This window comes from Homo sapiens, chromosome 2, assembly GCF_000001405.40.
Source record: "Homo sapiens chromosome 2, GRCh38.p14 Primary Assembly".
In the NCBI taxonomy this organism is placed as follows: Eukaryota; Metazoa; Chordata; class Mammalia; order Primates; family Hominidae; genus Homo; species Homo sapiens.
Window position 1 is genome coordinate 205,192,637 of NC_000002.12, and position 20,760 is coordinate 205,213,396.

The 20,760-nt window shown below is 36.2% G+C and overlaps 1 protein-coding gene across 17 annotated transcripts in view, besides 1 other annotated feature; it reads left to right on the top strand.

Moving 5' to 3' along the window:
* Positions 1–20,760, top strand: part of PARD3B (par-3 family cell polarity regulator beta) — a 1,074,688-nt gene that overhangs the window by 647,162 nt on the left and 406,766 nt on the right. For all 17 annotated transcript variants that reach the window (XM_047443208.1, NM_001302769.2, NM_205863.4 and 14 more), the window contains one exon: positions 569–684. In XM_047443208.1, coding sequence (XP_047299164.1) covers positions 569–684 — 116 coding nt within the window. The remainder of the gene's footprint in view (positions 1–568; positions 685–20,760) is intronic.
* Positions 15,446–15,947: an enhancer, noted in NCBI's record as "NANOG hESC enhancer chr2:206072806-206073307 (GRCh37/hg19 assembly coordinates)". NCBI's record gives its function as "activates a minimal SCP1, AML or CMV promoter by ChIP-STARR-seq in primed H9 embryonic stem cells {active_cell/tissue: H9 hESC(primed)}" and the evidence as "EXISTENCE:reporter gene assay evidence [ECO:0000049][PMID:30033119]".

The following is a 20,760-nucleotide window of genomic DNA, read 5'->3' on the forward strand; positions in this document are numbered from 1 at the left end:
TCTTCCTATTATTTCCTTTTGGCACTTTTGGTGAGCAGACTGTCTGCTTAGTGTTAACATTAGTTTTAGGAAAAAGACCTAAATAAAGTAGAAAACCAAACTCCTACAGGCATCAGTCATTCAACAGGATGGTTTTCTCTAAAGGATACAACCCTTTCACTTGTGTTTTAAAATAGGCATAGCTTAGTCCACAGAAATCCCTTAACCTGCTTTTGGGCTCTGCTAATATCCAGTGACATCTTTTGAAGTGCTAGTGTTTTCCAGGCCCTCTTTACCCACTTAAAGTTATATAGTGTACAGCAGGATCCCAATTAGCAGAAATCAGTGAAGAGTAAAACACGATATTGCCCAGAGAATATTTTATTTAAATTGTACAGTGTGATAAAATACATGAAAACAGAGTTGCTACATCTCATAAAAGAAACCTGAGATTTAAGAATTAGTTGAAAATATGTGGTTGGGAGCTGCGCAGAGTGATGAGTGGCTGTGTTCAAAATGAGAACTGCTTCCTCATTTTTTAAAAGATTTTATTCTAAACCTAAATACAACATATGGCTTCCTTCCACAGCTCTGGGGTGGATTCAGCAGTATATTTTCCAGATCAGCACATCAACTTCAGATCTGTGACACCGGCCAGGCAGCCTGAATCAATTAATTTGAAAGCCTCGAAGAGCATGGACCTTGGTAAGCAAGGGTGAGGTGACATCCAGGTCAGCTCTCCAGCCTCAGCCCATTTATCTTCCCAAATGTCCTGGTTTTGTTTCTTCAACTCAAACCTCAGGGAACAAGGTCTGCAGAAGCCTGGAGGAAGGGATAATGGCCATCCCACCTTCCTATCTCTTCGCACATTTAATTGTAATTACCCACTTTGTGAAACAAAGAGAAGTGATTTATTTTTACAAAGTGATCTATAAACTATCCTCCCATCATAGATGACAAAAATGATTCCTTCTGGAGGATCTGAATTCCAGAGGCATCTTTATCTCATCCATCTGCCTTTGCATTTGCACCCTCGCTTCTGCCAGGGCATTTCCACTCTGTGCGGGCATACCTGTTGCAGAGCCTGGGAAAATCATGTGGTTCAAAGCATCCTTTGCCTTAGTGCTTCACTTCCTTCTATTCTTCTCCATGTGTGATGGATAGAGATGGCATCAGTGCAGAAGATTCAGCTTTTTAAATGCCCATCCCCAAATCCTGTGACACTGGAGGGGAAAAGGGTCTCTTGGGCGTGCCACACTGAGGGTGTCAAGGTACCCTGTGTCCATGCCTGAACAACCTCACTGAGGTTCTGAGCACCATGGGGAACTTCGTGGTGACTGTTGGGTGCCAGGGCAGAGCAAGGGCCCCTGTTAACTGTGTTCTGAAAGCCTTGGGACATCTCAGATACCCTAGAGCATCACTGCCCTCCCATGGGCTCTTAGAGAGAACACCATTAGAGAAAAGTATGGATACAATAAATTCTCAGCAAAATATCCATTGCCTCATGAATGCTTGGAGGCCAAGCTTTGCAATTGTTTTTTCTCAAGGCATATTATATATTTCTTTAGTAACAACGAGAAAATAGAATAATCAAAAGTGCGTGCTCCACCAAACGATCTGATAAATAGTGCTTTTCTGTTACTCACTTACAGGAGTTCAGAAAAATGTTCAGTCATGATGAAACAAGAGAAATTGATTCTATTTTGTATAAATTAACTAAATGACTGGGATGCATTTGCTGTAATCGCCTGTAGTGAGAGACAGATAGAAACCTTAACAAGGAAGCTGTCTTGAGCACTGGTCAGAAAGAGTATTTTCTCAAGCGTGAACCTTTGACAAACCAAAGGAATAATTTGTGACAGTGACATAGGTTATTACTAATTATTTAAAGAGCAGTTCATTTTCATAGAGTGCTTGATAAACATTTCCTGTTCTGTCTTCCCAATTTCTCTGTAAAGAAGATGAATGGATCAAAACTGCTCTTATTTTTGAGGAGAGAAATATATTTGTTTTCCTCATTTAATTAAAGCAGCCACTATTATGTTTCTAAAAAGAAAAAACAGCACCCATTTTAAATTAAGAGAGAAAAAATATTATGAAACCTGTAAAAAATAAAACCAAAGACATGTGCAGAATCAATATTTTTGTTTACATTTTAATTTTATTATTATTATTATTTTTATTTTGAGATGGAGTCTCGCTCTGTCACCCAGGATGGAGTGCAGTAGTGCGATCTCGGCTCACTGCAACCTCCGCCCCCTGGGTTCAAGTGATTCTCCTACCTCAGCCTCGCAAGTAGCTTGGATTACAGGTGTCTGCCACCACGCCAGGCTAATTTTTTTTTTTTTTTTTTTTGTATTTTTAGTAGAGATGGGGTTTCTCCATGTTGGCCGGGGTGTTCTCGAACTCCTGACCTCAAGTGATCCACCCACCTTGGCCTCCCAAAGTGCTGGGATTACAGGCGTGAGCCACCGCATCCAGCCGTTTTGTTTACATTTTTATTACCAAAAACTGTTTTTTGAGTTTTCTCTTCTAAACTGAAATAGTCCTAGCAAAATATATGTAGTTAGCCGTCATTCTTTGCATTTTTTTATACATATGCCATAAATGACAACGATAATAGTAAGGTTTATTCATTTTACAAAATTGGTCAGGTTACGAGCTATTTTCTTCAGGACCCTAGTACCAAACTAAAAGCATTGGCTAAAATGCACCATGCAGTGGAAATACTCAACAGCATGCTGTAAAAACAAGTTTAGAGTAATCATCAAACTTTGCTCCTTTCCAAGAAGTACCAGGCTAAAGCCAACAGTCTTTCAGAAGGCCCTGAGAGTCAGCATTCTAGTACCATTTTGATCCCTTCTCCCCAGAACAGTCAAGTCAGGGAGCCTAACAAATGTGTTAGCCTTCTCAATATGAAATTCACTTAGGTGATACCGCAATGGTAAACATTTGAAAGTGTCTTTTCTGTTTCATTAGAGGAATAGACTATTCGTTTTCCATTTATAGCACTAGGCCAATGTAAGAGATTAATTTATTTGCTCAAAAAGTAGGTGACTATGTTTATAGGAATAATCCTAGCAGGATCTTGATTCTTTAAAGCGTTTTAACATTCTTTAAAACGTCTTAATAAGTAGCCTATTTAGGATGAATACACAATTCATGATGTCTATTTTTGACCTGGAAAACCAGCATTTTCATATGGTTCAAAATTTAAAAAAAAAACCTTCTATTTGTTACATAATTAATTTATATTGGCTATTTCTCACTTTATAAAGTCTGTAGGAATCTTCAAAGGCTGATGGATCCTATCAGTAGCCTTGTTTTTGTTTCATATTTGCTACTAAGACCAAACTAGTATTTTAACTTGCATGTTAATGAGTCATTGTTCATCTGCTCAAGCTATTTTAAAGGTGAGTGGCTTCCATTTACTTATTTTCACTTATATTTTCAAAGACAGACAATTCCAATTAAGAAAAAATAAAGCCTCCTTATTCCCATCCCTTTTACCTATTCATCAGACACAAATATAGTCTAAAATGTGAGTGCTCCTAGAAAGCACTAGTTGCTTCCCCATCTATGTACATGTCCACATCACATATCATTTCTTTATAATAGTTGCATAGTGTTACATTCATTAATCTTCATTTACAGCTTACTTTACTCTTCCCCTTTTAATGGAATGTGGGCTTCATTGGCAGTTCTTTTGTTGTTGTTTTGGTGGGTTTTTGAGTCGTTTGTGTTTAAGATTTTGCAATTTGTTTATTTATAGCCTTTGCCACGTTACCATTTGTTAATTTTGTCCTCTTTCATTTATAAAATATTGTTACATGGGATGCAAGTGATTTTTTTGCAACCCATTATTTGTCTTTTTAGTTTGATTGTGATATTTCTCATCATAAAAAAGGTTTCAGTCTTATTCTCAAATATTTTCATCATTTCTTCTTTTGTGACATTTGGGTTATATGTTTATCTCATTTTCCTCTGGTACTTTTAGAGGCTTTAAAAATATTTAGGACTCTATCATATATTTTTATCCATGGGGTATGAGATGGAAGAATTTTCTCACATAAATAAGCAAATTATTAATAACATGTATTGACTTCTCCGTTCTTTCCCTATTAATTTGAAATTTAGTCACATTGAATAGTAAATTTGCACACATAGATGTGTGGGTTTCTAGACATACTATTCTGTTGATATATTAGTCCATCTCATGTCAGCATCACCCCATTTAAATTATCTTGCTATTATGTCTTGTTTTGATTACTTACAGGATAATCTTCCTTTAATTTTTCTTCCTTTGTGAAATTACTTTGGCTCTTCATATGTACTCATTCTCCTGCATGGACTGTACAATCAGCTAATCAAAATGAGTTTAAAGATGAAACAGGAATGCTTCCACTGTGGGGGGGGGGTGTGTGTGTGTGTGTGTGTGTGTGTGTGTGTGTGTGTGTGTGAGAGAGAGAGAGAGAGAGCATGCACATTAATTATAATGTTTGCTATTGGCTTCTGATGGAAACATTTGATCAAGCTACATAAGTTTCTTTGCATTCCTAACTTCCTAAAAGTTTTTTGATTAAATCATTTATTTTTTTTAATCAAGAATGAATGTTTAATTTTAGTAAGTGATTTTAAGGCCCTTACTGGCTGATAATGTGGATTTTGTTCTTTATTCTATTAGTGAAATAAAAGTGAGTTAATTAATAGATTCCCCAATATTAAATCTTCGATTCTTTTTCAATGACTCTAAATTTTTCTCTTTACTTGCAAAAATGTTTATTGATTAACTACAGATATGTATATTAAACACTTCTTGAGATGGTTAACACATTATATGCTCTAAAATGTAGGTGTACAACTCTGATAACAATTTTACTCAGTGTCATTAATTCCTATATATACATTATAAGTATAATGTATATGTAGCCCTTTTGAGGCTGCTTTGCCTTGGGATTTTGTGGATACTTTTACTGGCATGCATGTGGTCACATTTAAATCAGAACAGAAATGATTAACATGATAAATAAAAGGAAATTTGTTTTTAAATAATTGCATGTAGTCATGCTAATTCAAAGGGGTTAGGGTGTCACTTAAGAGACTGGAGAGTGGATACTTCTGGGTTTTGGAGAAAATCAATCTTTTCCTACTAATTGTAGACTTTTCCCTATTTATTTAAATTACCAGAATTACTGTGTTCAGTCTGGACTCCTTTAATTTGTTCATAATTGAGCTTGTGTGGGTGTTGAGTTGGAAGCTCTCAGGAGCTGAATAACACAGCTGCCTCTTTGGCCTTTGGCATAGGGTTTTCCCCCAAAGAGCTGCCCTTGTTGGCAGTATGCCAGGAAGTTACATTCAAAGACTTTTTGATGAGGCATAAAAATCTTTAATTTCCAGGCTTGGTGTTTTATGACCCCATAATACTGTTTGAGAATTAGTCTGAATTATTCAAAAGATAGCACTTCAGTTTGTTGGCCCCCTTTGTTGACCTACTCTGTAGCCCCATTCAGAGTTAAGTTTAAAATGCTGTTTCTCACAAGATACTGTTTTTAGAGTTTTCTATCCTGTTTCACATTGGCCTCCCACGCCCATTTCAGAAGGGTGTTCTATAACACAGTTTGGAGAAGGCTAAGGGCAGTGCAAATGGAAGATGCTGGCCAGCTGCCCTGTTCAGTAAGAGGAAATGAGCTTAAAGTGATGCATGAGGCATTCAGACGAAATTTTAGGAAGTTTCCTGACAATGAAGATTGTTAACATTCCATGTCTCATAGTCTTTTAAGAAAGAGCATGTGTCCTGAAAAACTCTCCCTAAAATCAAGACGATAAATAGGTTGGCTGACTTCCTTTCAAGATTAGTGATTCACCAGTTTTATTTTCTGTTAGTTACTTGCTCTAATTTTTTTAAATTAGGAAATGTTTTTAGACACCCACAATTGAAGTAATTTATAAGCCAACTGAGTTCTCACATCTACAAAGGTAAATATTTGAGATACATTTTGAATATGAAACCTTTTATATATGTCAGATATTCCTCTTAGACAGTACATTTCTAGTATCAGCTCAAAGATGAGCATGAAAAAAGCCCCATTCTACTGCTCTAATACTTTCTTTTTAAGATTATATTCATATAGTGAGGTACTTCTATATGAATTATTGATAATAAAGACTGAATACATAGGATAATTTTTATAAAATTGTATATTCTAATAAGTGTGATGCTGGTTTGTATTAATATATAAAATATATTTTACTATTTTTATTTATATCCATGGATTTCTTTTATTGTCCACCAATAAGTAGTACCTCTGAATATAGTTAAAAGCTGAATTGGATATTACTGTTTGGGATACAACTTTGACTTAAAGAAAAGAACCTGTTTTGTAAAGAAAAATTAATGGTAATATTGTAAGAAAGTGTCTATTTGTATAATAGACAAGTATACAAAGATGAAGTCAGCTATATACTTTAAGCTCTAGTAAGTCAAAATAAAGGAATTATAGAGAATGTTCTTTCATTAAGTAAATGTTTATTAAGTGCCTACTGTGTGCCGGGAAGTGCATTAAACACTGGAGATGTGGTAAATAAATGAAAGAAATGGTGCTTGCTGCCTGTACCTAGATTAGAACCCCAACAGGAAAGAAAAGCTCAAGAGTTAAGGAAAAACTACCAAAAGGAAATTCTGACATTATGATAACTTATCTCAGGGAGGAAGAAAGGGAAGAGGCATCTGAAGACACTCATGTGGCTGCCTCAAGAACTCACTGATAACCTCGGCTATGTAGAAAAGAGGAAGAGAGAAGCAAATGATTAAAATATATACATATATGTACATTTTTACTGTGTGTGTATATACACATACACACACACACACATATATATACACACGCACACACGCACACACGTAGTAAAAATCTGAAATAATATATGCAGGAAGAGGTAAACAGCTGCATGAGAGGAGACTTGCAAAACCTAGTAAAAGTTAGACAGCCAAGCTATTTTTAAAGCATGAAAAAGAAAGTGTGCGAGGTGGCCCATTGTTTTAAACCCCTGCTAGATGTCAGGTGGAAAGCAAAGCCACTCAGTTCCTGTGTTAGTATTATCCTCATACATAGGAGAGAATGATGGTCAAACCAAAAAAGCATGGCTGCCAGGCAATGGAAAACTAGACAATTTACATCCCTGTGCACTAAAAGGCTTGTGATTATAAAGTGGCCGTCCCTGATCATCAGAAATTATGAAGAGTAGGCCTCACACTGGAAGACAAGGAAGCAAATGATCAATTTTCAGAAAGATAATGAATTCCAGAAACAACTGGTAATCTCAATGCTGATCATCAGATTTCCATGTTTGTGAAATTAAAAAAAAAAAAATGTGGTGGTCACCAGCAATCTCAATGGAGTCCTTGAAATAACTGGTGTCTCCTTTCCTTTTTGATGGGATTTCTAAACTGCTAAGTCAGGAAAATGTTTTACATATAGGTTATGTTGATGTTTATAAAAGTATTTCCATTTGTTTTCTTATTGAGACTTATGGGTCAAATTACATACAGAGGTAGACACAGCATTAAAATGTCCCTTCCTGAAATGTGCTAATTAATGTCTCATTGTCACCTTGGAGAAAATTAAATAACATATACCATAAAACGACATCTTTATTGTGTTCTGATAAAACTCAACAGAATTTGATGAAGATTGGATATAGGTAATTTGGCACATATCTAACTTAATATTTGTATACTTCCCTGTCTGTTATACAAAGCAAACAGACCTCTTTCAGTCTTAGTTAATTTTTCTTTACAAAACAGGATTTTTTCCTTAAAGTCAAAGAAGAGTAAAGAAGGAAAAGGCACTCTTCACAAATTTTCAAGAAATACCGTCTTAGAGAATTGGGTGATAGATTGACAGAATTAGCATTCAGATGATTTCTCCAGAATTGAAGAAGATAGAATTTAATAAAGAATGATGCATTCATTCAACAAGGATTTATTGACACTTACTGTATGCCAGGCAACATCCCAGGTAAATAAGACAAAGGCTGCAGTCTTACAGTGTTTTCATTCTCGTTATGTAAACAGATGGTAAAGATGTATACAGTGAATAAATAATAAAATTTCACATGATAGAGATTCAAATAGAAATGTTTTTTCCTAAAGCCAAATTCAGGTAGAGAGAATGACTGAGGGGACGTGAAGGTATTTTAGATGGGATAGTGAATGATAAAGGTTATGTCCTAAAGTCAGGTTAAAAAAGATTAATTGTATAAGTGTAGGATTTACGAGAGTGGGGATAGTAACTATTGAAGTAATCCCCTGGTTCTTAGCTGCTTGCCTGACACGGCCATCCCCAGAGCTAGTTCTGTGTTTTCAGATCAAAGGAGAAAACAGCTCCACTTTATTCTGGCCTGGTCATAACACATTTACAGTTCCATATTCAATTATGGGTACAATATTTTAATAACTACAAAGACAGTATAGAATGCAATCCAGATATTGGTGAGAGGCCTAGAAACCATGTTTAGTAAAAAACAGTTGAAAGAATAAAGATATTATGCCTGAAAGAGAGATGATTTGAGTCATAGGAGAGCTCTCCTCAAATATTTTCATGCAAATATTGAAAGACTCACATATGTTTAAAATTAATCAGTACCCCAGATACATCAAGCAATGATAATCACATCAGAAGATACATCACATTTACAAGTTTTGAAATCGAAAAGGATAACAGTGATGGAAAACGGAATTCTGGTTTATGGCATGTTTGGTATGAAAGGAAAAATATATAAATTAAAACAGCTCCTGAAGACTGAAAAGAGAAGCAGAACTCACCAAAATTATGAGAAAGAGACCATCATATATTTTTCAGTGTTTGACAAGGGATACAGGTTCTTTTTATTTTTTGTTAGAGTATTTTAATATGATTATGTCATTAAAACATATTATAGGGCCGGGCACAGTGGCTTACACCTGTAATCCCAGCCCTTTGGGGGGCCAAGGCGGGCAGATCACCTGAGGTCGGGAGTTCGAGACCAGCCTGACCAACATGGAGAAACCCTGTCTCTACTAAAAATACAAAATTAGCTGGGCGTGGTGGCCCATGCCTGTAATCCCAGCTACTTGGGAGGCTGAGGCAGGAGAATCGCTTGAACCTGGGAGGTGGAGTTTGCGGTGAGCGGAGATCACGCCATTGCACTCCAGCCTGGGCAACGAGAGTGAAACTCCATCTCAAAAAATAAATAAATAAAACGTATTATAATGTATATAGTTATATGTTTTAACTACATAACTGTATTATAATATGTACACAGATTATAACACTGTGTACATATTACACAGAATATAATTGTAGTGAGATGAATAGATGAAAAGTTGAATTTAGAGAACCTACCTGTCAGAACTCAGGCTGAATTCTTAGACATCTCTAGTGGTAAAAGACTTCAGATAGTTTCCAGCACCTCCATCCACGGCAGGCCTCTTTCAAAACATTAAGAAAACCAACATTTGGATTAACCAAAATTTAACATGTAATTATATTTTAGATGATTGCTACATTTAAAGTGAATTATAGACTATTAGTAGTAGTAACTGAAATGTAGAAATATAGATCACTATAATATAACTTGATCAATATTTCAGATGTAGCGGAATAAGGCAGATTCTGTTTAAAATTCATTAAAATAACCATTTGAGTTGGAAGCAAAGGTGTAAAAATGGTTCTCTATGTCAAGGACATGCTTTTCATATCCCTGTAAGTCTCTATCTATCCTTTCCTCCTGCTGTATTTTTGCATTCCCTAGGAAACATACTTTCAAGAAGAATTTGACTTTGTATTCATTCTTACTACTATTAATTGGAAAACAATATCTTTTGTGTAGGAATTGTACTTTTATAATGCTTCATATGTTTCTAGACTTGTCTAAAAGTTGTGGCAAATGCCAGGCCATCCCTGTCATACCCCTCCCATGACTAAATGCTCACAAATGCCATAAACTTAGCTGCACTCTTTTATAAGTTATTGAATGAGTGAATAAGAGGTACAACTTTCTCAAATGCCCCCATCTGAAACAGGAAAACATTCGGAGTAAGGATCATCCCTCTTACATAAAAACACTTAACCTAATGCCTAGAACATCCCTAATGCCTAGGGATTTGGTGGTGTCATTAGTAATAGTAGCAGTCATGGAGAGGGTAGTGTTGGTAGTATAATTAGAAATGAGCTTCTACATCTCCTACAAGTTTTTCTTATAATTAGTAGTGGACTTGAACAGTCAATATAAGTAAATTCTCCTAAAGTTAAGTATTATGAAATGCTGGGAGAAAAGTTAACCTGTGGATTTCATAGGTATATCCTTAAGTCAATAATGGGGCCACAAATGGTCTCAAATGTTGCCAGGCAGTTTTTCACTGAGTGTATTTTCTCAAGCTGGGGGCATGTTTAATGGAATATGTAGTTAATTTAAAATGTCACTGTCTCTAAGAGAAATGTAAGACTCTATTTCCCCAGAAGAGATACAAAAAAACTATAAAGTTTAGAAAACCTTAACCAATGATATTCTGCCAGTAACAAACCCACGCAGATTTTTACTAAATTGACCTCTGTGTACTTAGAACATTGTCTGTGCTCTGATTAGAAATTTTGGTCAATGGAAAAACTGCCCTATTCTTTAAAATTTAAATATTCTGGGCTCCTCTTAAAACTTGGATTAGAACATGAAGTGCTTTCTTCTTTTTATTTTGTACTGAGGCTCTGTATCTAGGATTCTAAGCCTTTTTTTTTTCACTTTTTATTTTTTTACTATACTTTTACTTTTTACTTTTTATTTTTTTACTATACTTTTACTTTTTACTTTTTATTTTTTTACTATACTATACTGGGATACATGTGGAGAACATGCAGGTTTGTTAAATAGGCACACACGTGCCATGGTGGTTTGCTCACCCATCAACCCATCATCTACATTAGGTATTTCTCCTAAGACTATCCCTCCCCTATGCTCCCACCCCCCAACAGGCCCTGGTGTGTGATGTTCCTCTCCCTGTGTCCATGTGTTCTCATTGTTCAACTGCCACTTATGAGTGAGAACATGCGGTATTTAGTTTTCTGTTCCTGTGTTAGTTTGCTGAGAATGATGGTTTCCAGCTTCATCCATGTCCCTGCAAAGTTCATGAACTCATACTTTTTTATGGCTGCATAGTATTCCATGGTGCATGTGTGCCACATTTTCTTAATCCAGTCTATCCTTGATGGGCATTTGGATTGGTTCCAAGTCTTTGCTATTGTGAATAGTGCCGCAATAAACATACGTGTACATGTCTCTTCAGAGTAGCATGATTTATAATCCTTTGGGTATATACCCAGTAATGGGATGGCTGGGTCAAATGGTATTTCTGGTTCTGGATCCTTGAGGAATCACCACACTGTCTTCCACAATGGCTGAACTAATTTATACTCCCACCAACAATGTAAAAGTATTCCTATTTCTCCACATCTTCTCCAGCATCTGTTGTTTCCTGACTTTTTAATGATTGCCATTCTAACTGGCATGAGATGGTATCTCATTGTGGTTTTGATTTGCATTTGTCTAATGATCAGTGATGATGAGCTTTTCTTCATATGTTTGTTGGCTGCATAAATGTCTTCTTTTGAGAAGTGTCTGTTCATATCCTTCACCCACTTTTTGATGGGGTTGTTTTTTACTTGTAAATTTGTTTAAGTTCCTTGTAGATTCTGGATATTAGCCCTTTGTCAGATGGATAGATTGCAAAAATTTGTTCCCATTCTGTAGGTTGCCTGTTCACTCTGATGATAGTTTCTTTTGCTGTGCAGAAGCTCTTTAATTTAATTAGATCCCATTTGTCAATTTTGGCTTTTGTTGCCATTGCTTTTGGTGTTTTAGACATGAAGTCTTTGCCCATGCCTGTGAGCTGAATGGTATTGCCTAGGTGTTCTTCTAGGGTTTTTATGGTTTTAGGCATTATTTTTAAGTCTTTAATCCATCTTGAGTTAATTTTTGTAAAAAATATAAGGAAGGAGTCCAGTTTCAGTTTTCTGCGTGTGGCTAGCAATTTTCCCAACACCATTTATTAAATAGGGAATCCTTTCCCCATTGCTTGTTTTTGTCAGGTCTGTCATAGATCAGATGGTTGTAGATGTGTGATGTTATTTCTGAGGTCTCTATTCTGTTCCATTGGTCTATATATCTGTTTTGGTACCAGTACCATGCTGTTTTTGTTACTGTAGCCTTGTAGTATAGTTTGAAGTCAGGTAGCATGATGCCCCCAGCTTTGTTCTTTTTGCTTAGGGCTGTCTTGGCTATATGGGCTCCTTTTTGGTTCCATATGAAATTTAAAGTAGCTTTTCCTAATTCTGTGAAGAAAGTCAATGGTAGCTTGATGGGGATAGCATTAAATCTATAAATTACTTTGGGCAGTATGGCCATTTTCACTATATTGATTCTTCCTATCCCTAAGCATGGAATGTTTTTCCATTTGTTTGTTTCCCCTCTTATTTCCTTGAGCAGTGGTTTGTAGTTCTCCTTGAAGAGGTCCTTCACATCCCTTGTAAGTTGGATTCCTAGGTATTTTATTCCCTTTGTAGCAATTGTGAATGGGAGTTCACTCATGATTTGGCTCTCTGTCTGTTACTGGTGTATAGGAATGCTTGTGATTTTTGCACATTGATTTTGTATCTGGAGACTTTGCTGAATTTGCTTATCAGCTTAAGGGGATTTTGGGCTGAGACGATGGGGTTTTCTAAATATACAGTCATATCATCTGCAAACAGAGATAATTTGACTTCCTGTCTTCTTAGTTCAATACCCTTTATTTTTTTCTCTTGCCTGATTGCCCTGGCCAGAACTTCCAATACTATGTTAAATAGGAGTGGTGAGAGAGGGCATCCTTGTCTTGTGCCAGTTTTCAAAGGGAATGCTTCCAGCTTATGCCCATTCAGTGTGATATTAGCTGTGGGTTTGTCATAAATCGTTTTTATTATTTTGAGATACATTCCATCAATACCTAGTTTATTGAGACTTTTTAGCCTGAAGCAGTGTTGAATTTTATTAAAGGCCTTTTCTGCATCTGTTGAGATAATCATGTGGTTTTTGTCATTGGTTCCGTTTATGTGAAGGATTACATTAATTGATTTGCGTATGTTGAACCAGCCTTGCATCCCAGGGATGAAGCCAACTTGATCATGGTGGATAAGCTTTTTGATGTGCTGCTGGATTTGGTTTGCCAGTATTTTATTGAGGATTTTTGCATCGATGTTCTTCAGGGATATTGGCCTGAAATTTTCTTCTTTGGTTGTGCCTCTGCCAGGCTTTGGTATCAGGATGATGCTGGCCTCATAACATGAGTTAGGGAGGATTCCCTCTTTTTCTATTGTTTGGAATAGTTTCAGAAGGAATGGTATCAGCTCCTCTTTGTACCTCTGGTAGAGTTCGGCTGTGACTTTGTCTGGTCCTGGGCTTTTTTTTGGTTAGTAGGCTATTAATTACTGCCTCAATTTCATAAAGACAGATATGAACTTTTTCTTATCACTTGCTTTTGTTTCCTAAACCATTGTTCATATTTAAATGAAATTCTGTGTTCCTTTTTTTTTTTCTTTTTTTTTTTTATTATACTTTAAGTTTTAGGGTACATGTGCACATTGTGCAGGTTAGTTACACATGTATACATGTGCCCTGCTGGTGCACTGCACCCACCAACTCGTCATCTAGCATTAGGTATATCTCCCGATGCTATCCCTCCCCCCTCCCCCAACCCCACAACAGTCCCCAGAGTGTGATATTCCCCTTCCTGTGTCCATGTGATCTCATTGTTCAAGTCCCACCTATGAGTGAGAATATGTGGTGTTTGGTTTTCTGTTCTTGCGATAGTTTACCGAGAATGATGATTTCCAATTTCATCCATGTCCCTACAAAGGACATGAACTCATCATTTTTTATGGCTGCATAGTATTCCATGGTGTATATGTGCCACATTTTCTTAATCCAGTCTATCATTATTGGACATTTGGCTTGGTTCCAAGTCTTTGCTATTGTGAATAATGCCGCAATAAACATACGTGTGCATGTGTCTTTATAGCAGCATGCTTTATAGTCCTTTGGGTATATACCCAGTAATGGGATGGCTGGGTCAAATGGTATAATAATGGGAGACTTTAACACCCCACTGTCAACATTAGACAGATCAACGAGACAGAAAGTCAACAAGGATACCCAGGAATTGAACTCAGCTCTGCACCAAGCGGACCTAATAGACATCTACAGAACTCTCCACCCCAAATCAACAGAATATACATTTTTTTCGGCACCACACCACACCTATTCCAAAATTGACCACATACTTGGAAGTAAAGCTCTCCTCAGCAAATGTAAAAGAACACAAATTATAACAAACTATCTCTCAGACCACAGTGCAATCAAACTAGAACTCAGGATTAAGAATCTCACTCAAAACCGCTCAACTACATGGAAACTGAACAACCTGCTCCTGAATGACTACTGGGTATATAACGAAATGAAGGCAGAAATAAAGATGTTCTTTGAAACCAACGAGAACAAAGACACAACATACCAGAATCTCTGGGACGCATTCAAAGCAGTGTGTAGAGGGAAATTTATAGCACTAAATGCCCACAAGAGAAAGCAGGAAAGATCCAAAATTGACACCCTAACATCACAATTAAAAGAACTAGAAAAGCAAGAGCAAACACATTCAAAAGCTAGCAGAAGGCAAGCAATAACTAAAATCAGAGCAGAACTGAAGGAAATAGAGACACAAAAAACCCTTCAAAAAATTAATGAATCCAAGAGCTGGTTTTTTGAAAGGATCAACAAAATTGATAGACCGCTAGCAAGACTAATAAAGAAAAAAAGAGAGATGAATCAAATAGATGCGATAAAAAATGATAAAGGGGATATCACCACCGATCCCACAGAAATACAAACTACCATCAGAGAATACTACAAACACCTCTACACAAATAAACTAGAAAATCTAGAAGAAATGGATACATTCCTCGACACATACAATCTCCCAAGACTAAACCAGGAAGAAGTTGAATCTCTGAATAGACCAATAACAGGAGCTGAAATTGTGGCGATAATCAATAGTTTACCAACCAAAAAGAGTCCAGGACCAGATGGATTCACAGCCGAATTCTACCAGAGGTACAAGGAGGAACTGGTACCATTCCTTCTGAAACTATTCCAATCAATAGAAAAAGAGGGAATCCTCCCTAACTCATTTTATGAGGCCAGCATCATTCTGATACCGAAGCCAGGCAGAGACACAACCAAAAAAGAGAATTTTAGACCAATATCCTTGATAAACATTGATGCAAAAATCCTCAATAAAATACTGGCAAAACGAATCCAGCGGCACATCAAAAAGCTTATCCACCATGATCAAGTGGGCTTCATCCCTGGGATGCAAGGCTGGTTCAATATACGCAAATCAATAAATGTAATCCAGCATATAAACAGAGCCAAAGACAAAAACCACATGATTATCTCAATAGATGCAGAAAAAGCCTTTGACAAAATTCAACAACCCTTCATGCTAAAAACTCTCAATAAATTAGGCATTGATGGGACGTATTTCAAAATAATAAGAGCTATCTATGACAGACCCACAGCCAATATCATACTGAATGGGCAAAAACTGGAAGCATTCCCTTTGAAAACTGGCACAAGACAGGGATGCCCTCTCTCACCACTCCTATTCAACATAGTGTTGGAAGTTCTGGCCAGGGCAATCAGGCAGGAGAAGGAAATAAAGGGTATTCAATTAGGAAAAGAGGAAGTCAAATTGTCCCTGTTTGCAGATGACATGATCGTATATCTAGAAAACCCCATTGTCTCAGGCCAAAATCTCCTTAAGCTGATAAGCAACTTCAGCAAAGTCTCAGGATACAAAATCAATGTACAAAAATCACAAGCATTCTTATACACCAATAACAGACAAACAGAGAGCCAAATCATGAGTGAACTCCCATTCACAATTGCTTCAAAGAGAATAAAATACCTAGGAATCCAACTTACAAGGGATGGGAAGGACCTCTTCAAGGAGAACTACAAACCACTGCTCAATGAAATAAAAGAGGATACAAACAAATGGAAGAACATTCCATGCTCATGGGTAGGAACAATCAATATCGTGAAAATGGCCATACTGCCCAGGGTAATTTACAGATTCAATGCCATCCCCATCAAGCTACCAAAGCCTTTCTTCACAGAATTGGAAAAAACTACTTTAAAGTTCATATGGAACCAAAAAAGAGCCTGCATCGCCAAGTCAATCCTAAGCCAAAAGAACAAAGCTGGAGGCATCACACTACCTGACTTCAAACTATACTACAAGGCTACAGTAACCAAAACAGCATGGTACTGGTACCAAAACAGAGATATAGATCAATGGAACAGAACAGAGCCCTCAGAAATAACGCCGCATATCTACAACTATCTGATCTTTGACAAACCTGAGAAAAACAAGCAATGGGGAAAGGATTCCCTATTTAATAAATGGTGCTGGGAAAACTGGCTAGCCATATGTAGAAAGCGGAAACTGGATCCCTTCCTTACACCTTATACAAAAATCAATTCAAGATGGATTAAAGACTTAAACATTAGACCTAAAACCATAAAAACCCTAGAAGAAAACCTAGGCATTACCATTCAGGACATAGGCATGGGCAAGGACTTCATGTCTAAAACACCAAAAGCAATGGCAACAAAAGACAAAATTGACAAATGGGATCTAATTAATCTGTGTTCCTTTTTAAAGAACTTTTGTTTTCATATAAGAACATCTTCCTAAAAGTATGAAGCTAAGGATGCTTATTCAAAGAATGGAACAAAATACTTAAGTTCTCCTTGCAAATATGAACCAAATCCATTTTAGTTTTTTGAAGTGAGAATTTCATTAGTTGAAAATGTTATATATAATGTGCAATTAAATATACAATTAATAATTAAAATATACAATTAAATAATTAAAAATATATGATATAAATATAGGTTAAATGAAGTTTAGCAGTTTCATAATTATCCCTTCTGAATATTTTGAATGATAAAATTTGTTATTGGCAATACTTTATGAAGTGATTAAAGACACTGTAAGGAGAGACAACTATCTGATTTTTAGATGCAGTAGTTGCAGTTTGTTCTTTAAAAAGCAAAATATAAAAAAAAATTAGAATGAATGAATAAGGCCTAGTATTTGATAGTATGACAGAGTGACTATAGTCAATAATGATTTAATTGTACATTTTAAAATAACTAAAGGATTACTGGATTGTTTGTAACGCAAAGGATAAATGTTTAAGGGGATGATACCCCACTTTCCATGATGGATTATTATGCATTGTATGCCTAGGTCAGAACATCTCATGTATCCCATAAATATATACACCTACTAAGTACACACAAAAATACAAAATAAAAAATTATCTTAAGGGATAAAACAGGGCCAGTCATGGTGGCTCATGCCTATAATCTCAGCACTTTGAGAGGCTGCGTTGGGAGGATCGTTTCACCCTGGGAGTTTGAGACCAGCCTCAGCAACAAAGCAAGACCCCATCTCTACAAAAAAAATTTTAAAAATAAATAAAATTTTTTAAAAAATAAAATAAAAAGAAAATCAGCTTTAGTCTTACATATTTTTATTCTCTTATATACCTACCTGTGTTCTTATATTCTAATTTTTCTCAAGTGATTGTACCAAACATATTTCTTTAAATTTGTATTAAAAACAGTCTAACCTAAACATTGTTCTCTGGATCTTTACTTCTACAACATTATCTTTTAGTTGTAAAGTTTACTCTGGAATAAATGTAGCGTGATTCACTTGACTAATATTATACTCTTTGCCATAAAAGTTGTTTCCAATTCTTCACTTCTAGAAACAGGAATGCATTGAGCCTGCTAGTACATCAACCTTTGTAAACAATCATGATTATGTTATCATTATAATTTCTATACGTGTACTCCCCAGCCAGATGATGTATTAAAGATATGAGGCTTTTGATTCATATGACCAGTTGCCCTGCAGAAAAGCAGTTTTGCTCGTATCAGCAGTATATGGAAGAATCTGGGTGTCATCATTTTTTTTTCATTTTTGCCAGTGTTATAGGCTTAAAAAGGTTATTTTATTTTACTTTTAAAATCACTTCTGTGGTTAAACCTCTCCCAGCTGTTTGACTGTATGTTTTCTATTGTGAATGATCTGAGCATTTCCTTTATAAGGCTGAAAATTTCTAAAGTAAATATCACTTTTTGGAATTAAAATGTTACTCTACATTAAAGATCAAATTTCAGCCCTTGCTCACAGGGGAAAATAGATACTTTGCTTTCATTTAAATGTTACCCTCTCTGAAGTACATGCTAATGAATACATTTGTGTCTTTCATTAAGTGTTCAGAAAAATGTTTAACTAAACATGAGGCAGAGGCAGAATTCAGATTTATTTATGATAAAACTGCTTAATCTGGGTCAAGTCAATTAATCTTTCTAAAAATAATTTATTTTTGGTTTTTCATCAGAACCCCAGAAGCCAATATACTTGACATACAGCAGTGCTGGCTGCTTTAGAGCATATTAGTACAAAGACTGGCATCACCATAAACACCTACTCTGCTTTTATAAGACTGAAAAGTGCTTGAAAATACAATTTCAGCTCCATGTGAATGTATGTATCCATACATACAATAGATGTATGGATGCGAAAGTCATCCATACATCTATTCCCTCCTTCCTTCATTCATCATTTATTGGGTGCACTGTCTATGCCAGGTAATGTTCCAAATATTTGAGACATATCAGTGACAACAGACAGTATCTTATTTCTGTAGCTTACCTTTCTTTAGTGGAAATACTCTCATGAACAAAGTTTGAGCGATGAGGTAAATAAACGATAATAACGCAATAAGTGAATAAAGTTGCTGGAAAGATATCCAGTAGGACAAACATAACACTACAAATTGTGGAAAGAGGAAACATGACTGGAAAGGCTAGTGTTTCAATACCCACTTGGTTTCTAGTGTTCATAAGAAAAGGTAACTAGCAACACTATCCAATGAAGGTATAAAAATTAAAGTGAAAATTAAAATAGAGATCAAATTGGAAACTGACTAATCAAGACTGATGGTTTTAAGTGGGCTGGGAATAAGCTAATCTGTCCTCTGCTGATCCAGGAACTAACTGGCATAATCCCCAGTCCCCAAACGCTTCAGAATTGTCTTGAAAGAATTGTGAGAGCCTGAAAAGGTTTCAGCTTGGAATTCCTTAAAAGTAAAACAAGGGGGTACCAATGAATTGGAGAACATTTAGCATGTTTTCAAAATTTGGAATAAATTATCATAGCACCCAAATTGAAGGAAAAATGAGTTCCATTAGAATTTTTTTATTTTCAGCTTTAATAAATAAGTAGATGTCAGGTAAATGATCTCAGTGCTTTCTCTGTACCCAGAAAGGCCAGAGGGAAATCTTAGGTGCCCAGTCCTCTCACTTGAGGCTAATAGTACCACCTTATCAAAGATTGAAGAATATATTTGTTAATATAAACAGTATTCACAAAAATGTCAGTGAAACTAACAGATTGGCGGTTTTAGTAGTGACTTTAATGATAAAAGTCTCGGAAATGCTGACAAAGTTAAACAGGCTTCTTAAATACGGGATTGCTCACAACCATTAGTGCATGTTTTGTACGTTTCCAGGCTTCAAGAATCTTCAGGATGTAATAAATGCAGCATTTCCCAAACTCATTTGATCACAGAAACTTTGAGTACAGACTATCTCATAGGTCTCATCCTTTGAGGAATGTCCTTAGCAAAGAAGATGTGAGTTTGCTTGTGAGATTTAAAGGTGATGTGCAACAGCCAGAGTAGGGTGAGGAAGGATTGCCAACAAGCTGGGACACGTGGAGCAATGCTGTGAAGTGGGGTGTAACCTGAGAGAGAATCTCCAGGGCAGAGAAGTGTCCACAGCCACTAAGCAAGTAGGAATTAACTGCAGAGCAGCAAGAATGAACAGGGCTGTAATCAACTAAGCATACATTAACCATGGACGGTGATGATAGAATGTAACTGACAGCACTGCAATATGCCTCCAAAAGAATGGCAAAAGAATGGTAAAGATAACCTCTGATGTTACTGATTATCTGTGGCCAGAAACCTTTGACTCTCTTTTACATATGGTAAAAAGATCAAGCCCTAATATTTAAGCTTCAGTGCCTATTAATCTAGAATATGAAGATTAAAAAGAGGAAAAGCATTAGTAGTAACTGTAATCTTCATAGCTGTATGTCAGGCATAGTTTTTTTGCACAGCAATTCCATCGCCATTTTACAGATGGGGCAATCAGGGCTTAAAGATGTTGACTTATATAAGATATCTCAGCTAGTAAATGGTGGGGCCAGGATTTGAACTCAGGCACATTTAACTTTGATGGTTGGGCTTCAGACCATTATGGCTGTTTCAAATAAGGCTTGTCAGTTTCCCAGTCTTAACTCAAAAACAGACGACCTATTCTCTCTCCACTCTTTTTTAAATTCTGTCTTTCATTCAGGACCCATTCAAATCTTGCCTTCTCTAGGGGACTGTCATTTTTTTTTTCCAGCTCCTTTTCTGAATTCCTAAAGCAGTAACTATTGGTTATTCAACTTCACAAGTAATTAAGAAAATTGAGATACTATATCTTAGCACAGAATGGCATACTCCTTTGATATTCTTTTGAGTGAGCATTTTTTTTCCCATTCCAATCAGGTTATAAGCTTCTACAGGT